This window comes from Homo sapiens, chromosome 3, assembly GCF_000001405.40.
Source record: "Homo sapiens chromosome 3, GRCh38.p14 Primary Assembly".
NCBI classification, from domain to species: Eukaryota; Metazoa; Chordata; class Mammalia; order Primates; family Hominidae; genus Homo; species Homo sapiens.
In genome coordinates, this window is record NC_000003.12 from 198,226,387 (window position 1) to 198,235,559 (window position 9,173).

At 36.0% G+C, this 9,173-nt stretch overlaps 1 pseudogene; it reads left to right on the plus strand.

The window, feature by feature from the left end:
- On the plus strand, positions 1,806 to 4,390 carry SEPTIN14P3 (septin 14 pseudogene 3; annotated as a pseudogene).

Below are 9,173 nucleotides of genomic sequence, written 5' to 3' on the forward strand. Positions count from 1 at the left end.
GAAGGGGAGGTTGGAGAGGAGCAGAAGGCCAGGCCTCAAGTTTTGTTTTTTTTGTTTGTTTTGTTTTTTGTTTTTGAAATGTAGTTTGACTCTTGTCACCCAGGCTGGAGTGCAGTGGCACGATCTCAGTGGCCTTCATACCTGGCTAATTTTTTGTATTTTTACTGGAGGTGGGGTTTTGCCATGTTGGCCAGGCTGGTCTTGACCTCCCGACCTCAGGTGATCCACCCACCTCAGCCTCCCAAAATGGGATTACAGGCATGAGCCACCGCTCCCAACTTCATTCATTTTTACTTGAAAAACTCCGTTAAGCATTTTTTTAAGGTAGACCTAGTGGTCCTGAATGCCCTCAGCTTTGTTTGTCGAGGAAACACATTATTTCTTTTTCCTTTCTGAAGGACAGCTTTGTCAGACATAGTATTAGTTGCTGGCAGTTTTTTTCTTTCAGCACTTTGAATGTATTATTCGATTCTGTCCTGACCTGCAAAGTTTCTTTAACTTTTGACTATTTGATTATATTGTGACTTGGTGAGTATCTATTTGGTTTGAACCTCTTTAGGAATCTTTAAGCTTCATGGATTTAGATGTCTAAATCTTTCCCATGATTTAGGCAGTTGTCAGCCATTCTTTAAATAAGCTTTATTCTCCTTTCTCTACTTTCCTTCTCAAACTCCCATAACCTGACAATGGTTTGCTTAATGGTGTCTTGTTGGCTTTCTTTTCTCTGTCTCTTTTTTTTTTCTTTTTGAGACAGAGTCATGCTCTGTCACCCAGGCTGGAGTGTAATGTGTGGTCTCGGCTCACATTGCACTCCAACCTCCGCCTCCTGGGTTCAAGTGATTCTCCTGCCTCAGCCTCCCAAGTAGCTGGGACTACAGGTGTGTGCCACCACACCCGGCTAATTTTTGTATTTTTAGTAGAGATGGGGCTTTGTCATGTTGGACAGGCTGGTCTTGAACTCCTGACCTCTTAATCTGCCTGCCTCGGCCTCCCAAAGTGTTGGGATTACAGGCTTGAGCCACCACACCCAGCCTTCTTTTCTCTCTTTTATTCTTTTTTTCTCTGTCCTCTGACTGGATAATTTCGGAAGATCTATATTCAAGTTTACAGATTCTCTCTCCTGTTGAAGTTGACTATTGTGTTATATCACCCAGTCTGGTCTTGAACTCCTGGGCTCAAGCGATCCTCCCACCTTGGCCTCCCAAAGTGCTGAGTTTACAAGCATGAGCCACTGCATCCAGTCAGTCCCAGCACTTTGGGAAGCTGAGGTGGGAGGATCACTTGAGCTCAGGAGTTTGAGACCATCCTGGGCAACGTACTGAGAACTTGTCTCTATATTAAAAAAAAAAAAAAGTCTTTGGGAGGCCAAAGCGGGAGGATCACCTGAGGTCAGGAGTTCGAGACCAGCCTGGCCATCATGGCAAAACCCCATCTCTACTAAAAATACAAAAATTAGCCAGGTGTGGTGGCACACGCCTGTAGTGGTGATGCATGCCTATAGTCCCAGCTACTCAAGAGGCTGAGGCAGGAGAATCACTTGAACTGGGAGATGGAGGTTGCAGTGAGCTGAGATCGCACCAGTGCACTCCAGCCTGGGCAACAGAGTGAGACTCCATCTTATAAAAGGAAAAAAGAAAGAAAAGAAAAATTCCATATCTGAGTGTTTACTCCTGAGTTTTTGAGATTGTTATTAAGATCGTGCTCTACTGTGATGATTTGGGTTTGTTTGATAATCAGAAAAAAAGCGTATTCTTTTAGGTGTTCAGCCACACTGCTTTGGTGTCACAACTGCACATTGGTTTCACAGCTGCAGGACAAGTTCGAGCATCTTAAAATGATTCAACAGGAGGAGATAAGGAAGCTCGAGGAAGAGAAAAAACAACTGGAAGGAGAAATCATAGATTTTTATAAAATGAAAGCTGCCTCTGAAGCACTGCAGACTCAGCTGAGCACCGATACAAAGAAAGACAAACATCGTAAGAAGCAATAGTTTCTCTTACTATTCTGAGAGCCTTATCATTCTACATCCCATCTTCCTGTGAGTTTGTCTTTGTAGCATTTAACTCTAATTGCAGTTCTCATTTTAAAAACTGGCTTGCTTATTGTATATTTTCCCCAACTAAAGCGTGAACTCCTAGCAGGGCGTGGTGGCTCATGCCTGTAATCTCAGCACTGTGGGAGGCCGAGGTGGGTCGACTACCTGAGGTTAGGAGTTCGAGACCAGCCTGACCAACATGATGAAACGCTGTCTCTACTAAAAATACAAAAATTAGCTAGGCGTGGTGGCTGGGACCTGTAATCCCAGCTACTTGGGAGGCTGAGGCAGGAGAATCACTTGAACCCTGGAGGTGGAGGTTGCAGTGAGCAGAGATCTCACCATTACACTCCAGCCTGGGTGACAAGAGCAAAACTGCATCTCAAAAAAAAAAAAAAAAGGGGGTGAACTTGAAGGCAGGTCCTGTGTCCATCTTTTCAGATTCTGTATCCCAGCACTTAGGACATAGACAAACACGAAGATGACAATCAATATTTGCCAAAATGAAAAAACAAAAGAAACATGTAACATCATGTAAAAGAAGCTGGTTAGGTGGAGAAATTTATTTACCATAGTCTTGCTTGTGGATCCAGTAGTGACTTTTACAGTTTATATCTAAATAGAAGCTGGAGGCTTTGTTGGGGACTCATAGGCATAAAATATTATTTATTATAGAGTTAAATGCTACAAAGACAAATCTAATTAATAGGCCTATTTTCCTTTTTAAATTCTACTCATAATTTCTTCATAGTTTTTATGATAAAAGGTTGGATTTTGATTAGAACTCCCATGATTTTGTGTCAGAATTAAAACTGGTATTAGAATAAATAATTCAAAAGCTAGAGAAAGAGTACAAAGAGAAGCCATGCATTGCATTTGAATTATAATATTATGTCTTACAGATTTGGGGTATATGCTAAAGTTACCAAAGTTGTAGAAAATAAGGCCGGGCATTGTGGCTCACATCTGTAATTCCAGCACTTTGGGAGGCCGAGGTGGGCGGATCATTTGAGGTCAGGAGTTTGAGACCAGCCTGGCCAACATGGTGAAACTCCGTCTGTACTAATAGTACAAAAATTAGCCAGGCGTGATGGTGTGCACCTGTAGTCCTTGCTACTCAGAAAGCTGAGGCAGGAGAATCGCTTGTACCCAGGAGGCAGAGGTTGCAGTGAGCAGAGATTGTGCCACTGCACTCCAGCCTGGGTGACAGAGTGCTATGAGTCACCACACCTGGTATGAGCCACCGTGCCTGGCCCACAATGACTTTTACACATGTTGTTAAATCATCTTACAGATTTTATAATTTGGGGGAAGAAAAGTTTTACTAAATTGTCTTTTAATGGAAACTCTACAAGAACCAGAATCTTTGCTTTGTTCACTTATGTATCCATTCCTAGGCCTAGAAAAATGTCTGACACATAGCGGCAATTATTCATTGAATAAATGGACCCAGCGATAGTACATTGGCTATGCTATATGCATACATTAAAGATGTAGATTATCGACTTTCAAAAGATAATTAATGTAACTTCTTACTGCTTCTGAACATGTTTGTGAGTTATATTGCTGAGGGACCTTTATCTTCTCATTCTTTCATCTTAACCCAGTGTTATAAAATTGAAATCACCAATATTATTCCATATCTAAAATTAATATCTACCTTGTAAAAAATATCACTCTGCTGCATTTGAGAATAGACTTTTTAGGTAATAATGATGCAATCCATAGGGTTTTTTGGGGGCACAGAGGGATTCATGCTAACAGAACATTTTATTTTCTATTTTCCCAGAGCTGTAAAACATGAAATTACGGTAGTATAAGGCATATTTTTACTCTTTTTATAATTTTTTCTAAAAAAAAATTAGTGTTTGTTCCCTATATAACTTTTAACTTTATAGGTAAATATTTGTTTCTTTCAGCTCCAGTTTTATGTGAAATAGAGTTTTCAGATTTATGTAGCATGGAAAGTTTTAATACGTCAGAGTTACTGATTTTTGCCAATCATTTTCTCAATTATTTCTTTTTTATCTTTAGTTGATTTTTTTGTAGTGACACATTTTGTTTCTAGTCTCATTTCCTTTTGTTTATATTCTATATATATTTCATTTTTGGTTACTATGAGAATTACATATAACATCCTAGAGTTATAACATTTTAATTTGAATTTATTTCAACTTAAGTTCAATCACATACCAAAATTCTACTGCTATATATATAGCTCTACTCTTTTTATGTTATTGATGTGACAAATTATATCTTTATTCATTGTATACCAGCTAACAGATTTACAATTACATTTTATGCATTTGCCTTTTAAATTATGTAGAAAATAAAAAGCAGAGTTACAAACCAAAATTACAATAGGACTGTTTTTATGTTTGTTTATGTATTTACCTTTACCAGAGAGCTTTGTATATTCATACAGCTTGCTTATTTACTTACATAGTTATTGCCTAGAGTTCATTTATTTCAACCTGAAGGACTTAACACTTCCTGAATGTCAAATTCAGGGATAAATGGATTTTTTTCAGTTTTAAAAAAAAATCCGGAAATGTCTTAATTTCTCCTTCATTTTTGAAGGATAAGTTTTCCAGCTATATATTTCTCAATTGACAGGTTTCTTCATTATTTTAAATATATAATCCACTGCCTACTGGCCTTCAAGGTTTCTGCCGAGAAATCAGCTGCTAATGTTATCTGGATCCCTATCTGTGAGAGTTGCTCTTCTCTCTGAGTTTTCAACATTCTCCCATTATCTTTTTTTTGTTTGTTTTTGAGACAAATAATTGTACATATTCATGGGATACAGAGTGATATTTTGATACATGTATACAATGCCCAATGATCAAATAAGGATAATTAGCATATCCATCACCTCAAATATTTGTCATTTATTTGTATTGTGAACAGTCAACATTCTTTCTTCTAGTTTTTTAAATTTATAAACATTTAAATTTTATTACAGAAATTTAAATTTTTTGATTCTGAAAAAGTCATATATGTATGCAACATTTTTTATCATTTATTTATATATTTATGCATCTTTCCTTTTAGTTTTGACAGAGATTTTCTATTTTATCATTATTTCAAAAGAACTCTTACCTGTATTTATTTATCAAGTATATTTCCCTTGTTTTTTCCTAGTATATTAATTTATTTACTTATCTTCTAAAAATCCTCCATATAATCTGTTTATTTTGTTTCCTTTCTATAATTTCTTCAATAATTAGTTCTGTTCTATTTTCCATTAAAATATTTAAATCTTGTATGAATTTTTGTCAGATTAGAAATTTAGGGCGTTTCTTAATTTCTCTATACTCTAGCTTTTGACTTTTTTTTTCTGACCTAAGAGGTATTTAGAGCACATTTTAGATTTTTTATTTTGACTAATCATTTAAAATGTATACTAATCTTCAATTTAAATAAAAAACTGGTCTATAGTGACAAAAATTACAAATGAGCCTAACTAATAAATTATCAGCTGTGTTTATATGTATAAGCATGCACAGATTTTGGTAAATATGTACATAGTATATTGGTGAGCTTATTTTTATCATTCTTAACTCATTGTGTAGTCTAAACGTTGGGGAAAAAATAAAATACAATAATCAGATGGTGTGAATAAGAAAATTGTTCTAATGTTTGTAAACCAAGCAACTGTTTTAACTGCTCCCCTCTTCCTGATTGACTTCTAAAAGGGATTGATCCATATTGGGTCCTATCATATACGTCACGGTATAACATCTCCAGCTATAAAATGGAAATTTGAGAATAACTTTGCTGCTACTCAGATACATTTTATTTCAAAAACATACACTAAGGTGTTGCTGTTGGATCTTTCCAAAAACATATTCACACAGAACTTTCAATCACACTGAGCCATATTTGAACAATCTTTCAAGGTCAGCTCTGGCATAAGCTAACATTATACCATTTAACTCAGAAATTTCTTTAGTATTTGATTAATGGGTTTATGTTTGATATGTAATGTAATTTTCTAATGCTAAATCAAGTGGTAATTTTGTTAGTCAAGTTGATTTAGTGGCTTGGGAAGAAAGCTTTTAATGTTCCCCTAATTTTTCTTACCTTTGACATGATCCTTCACATGTCTTATTTTGCTTAGTGATTTTTCTTTTTTTTTTTTTTTTTTGAGACAGGGTCTTACTCTACCACCCAGGCTTGAGTGCAGTGGTGCAATCACAGCTCATTGCAACCTTGACCTCCCAGACTCAAGCTATTCTTCCACCTCAGCCTCCCAAGTAGCTGGTACTACAGGCACATGCCACCAAACTTGGCTAATTTTTGTAATTTTTGTAGAGACAGAGTTTTGCCAAATTCTCAGGCTGGTCTGGAATTTCTGGGCTCAAGTAATCCTGCCTTGGCCTCCCAACATGCTGATATTACAGACATAAGCCACAGTACCTGGCCAGTTTTCTTTTTAAAAAAATCTATTGGTTATTAATTTGAAGCCTTCCTTTTCATAGCTGTGCTCCTTAATTGGGAGCAAACATGAATGGACCACAACTTAGCCAATTTTCTATATACGATCTTTGCCATCCTAATTTAAAGGAATATTAATTCTTTCTTTTCCTCTTTCATTCCACAAACCTCTATTGACTACATCTAAGTTCTAAATGGTGCACTGGATGTTGAAAAAGTTGATGATGAGCAAGAACAAAATTCCTGCTTTCAGGAGACTTACAGTTCAATATGGGAAATATAATTTGTTAAAATATAAAAGTGCAATTGTGTTACATGCTGTACGAAGTACATGTTGACATGTGAGCATATAATAAATGGGCTGGAGGCCAGAGGATTGCCAAAGAGAATGGGCCTCCTGCTGAGATGAAAAGTTGAGCAGGGATTAGTTGGCGAAAGTGGAGGGACGATCCTTTCTAGGCAGGAGGAAGAACATGTACAGAATCTCTGAGGTGTGATGCGACAAAGTCTATATAAAAAACTGAAGAAAGGTCTAATGTGGCTTAAATACAGAAGCTAGTAGGAGAGGAGTTGAAAAGAGGCTGGAGAAGTAGAAAGTGTCTGCATTCTGCAGGAACTTATATTGTATAAAAAGAATTTCTCTTTATTCTAAGTGCAATGTGAAGCCAATGAAGTGCTTTAAACAGGTGATGTGATTTGATTGAATTTATTACTTCACTTAACAAATATTCATTACATGCCCACTGTTTGTCAGATATTGCTGTAGCCCCTGGTGATACAGTAGGGAATAAAACAGGCAAAAATCCCTGTCCTCTTGCAGCTTATAATGGACTGCAATGTTTAATATGTCAGAGGAGGTCCACGGAGGAGTGACTTCTAAGCAAGAATCTGAAAAAAATGAGGATATCTAAGGAGGGAACAAATGGTTCAAAAGCCCTATAATTGCAAGCAGGCATGATGAAGCAATTGCAGTTGTCCTGACTCTCAACACCGTGGAACTCAAAGGAGATGGAAAGATTCCTTCTCTCCCTCATATATTTTCTCTCTTTCTGTCTATATATATAGAATATGAGACATTTCCCTAATCATTATGTGTAATTACAATTACATATATATATGTAATTGTAATTACACATAATGATTAGGGAAATGTCTCATATTCTTCTACTCAGAAATAAGCAATATAGCAATTACTGTTTTTTACATTTTACAGTTACAGTTTCAGAGAAAGTTTGATATTTATCTAAAATTTTTCAATGTATGAACTTTTTCATTTGACAAACCATAATTGTACATATTCTTGGGATACAGAGTGATATTTTCTTTACATGTATAGAATGTGTAGTGATCAAATCAGGGTAATTTCCACTAATTTAAAATGCCACCTTTATGTTATTGTAATTTATATATATACTATATATATACACACACACATATATATATATACATGTCCACATACAGTGTGTGTGTGCACATGTACACACATGCATATGTGTATATAATGCCCAGTATAAGCAATGTGCACAAATAAAATTAGCTAACAGAGATAGTATAGAGTGAGAGGAGAGGCAGATTAATCTTTGAGGAAAAGCACAATTTTATAGCTGAATGGAGAAAGCTGAGGTGGTTTCTAAGATGGAGAATAAGACAAAAAATGTAAGTACGTTGTTTGACTGAATTCAAGAAAGAAGGGTAAAAGAGAAGAAAGTAGTGGTCTTATCATTAAATGCCACAGAGAGGTAAAGATAAAGACAACATATTGTTTTGGGTTTAGTAATTTAAGGGTGACCAAATTCCGTTTTGGAGGAGGAACAGATTCCATGTCCACTAGAATGGAATGAACAAGAAATGGAGGAGGAAAATAGGTAGTTTTTCAAAAGTTTTCAAAAATATGAAAAGAAGAAATGAAGTGGTACTTGGAAGAGATTGTTGAAATGGGAGAGACTATGGTGGCTTGTTTAGAAGCAGTTGAGATAGATCCAATTGAGATAGAGATATTGACTATATAAACAAAAGAATGACAAATTAATAGTGTAATGGATAACTTGACTTTGGCAAATATTGTGAATTTTTGTGAAAGTACAACTAAAAGGCAATGTCACTCCAATAATCACCAGAGTAATCAATTTGCTTATTGCTGTCCCTTTAAATATAGTTCTCTGGTATCAACTAACATGTTTTTAACTAATGATGCTTCTTAAAGAAAAGGGAAAAGACCTTTTTCTTTCTTTCAGTCTTCAATGATTCACTGCTTCATCTCGCTCCACCAAAGATAAATGAAATCTACATCTCTTATACATTAACAATGCATGACAATTTACAAATAGCTAAATTTTTGGAGCTAACTTTAAGTACCTGAATGGAATTTAATCAACCCACTAATCTCCTTCTCACTTCTCAGTTATTTATCAAGTTTATGTCAAGGGACAAGGAAAAATTATCCAAACATTGTTTAAAACAATCATCATTAATTAGTAACACTTATCCAGGGGGGTTTTTAACCTTTCCCCCACTCAAGGATTATTCTAATGTCAGAGTAGAATAAAAAATAAGTGCAGCGATGCTGACTCTTCCAAGCTTAACATTTCTCACAAGTCAATTAGCTTTGTACTGGGAGGAGGGCGTGAAGGGCTGCTTGCGGTAGTTGTGTAGCAGCAGCACAATGGCCGCAGACAAGGAAAACAGTTTCTAGGAATTC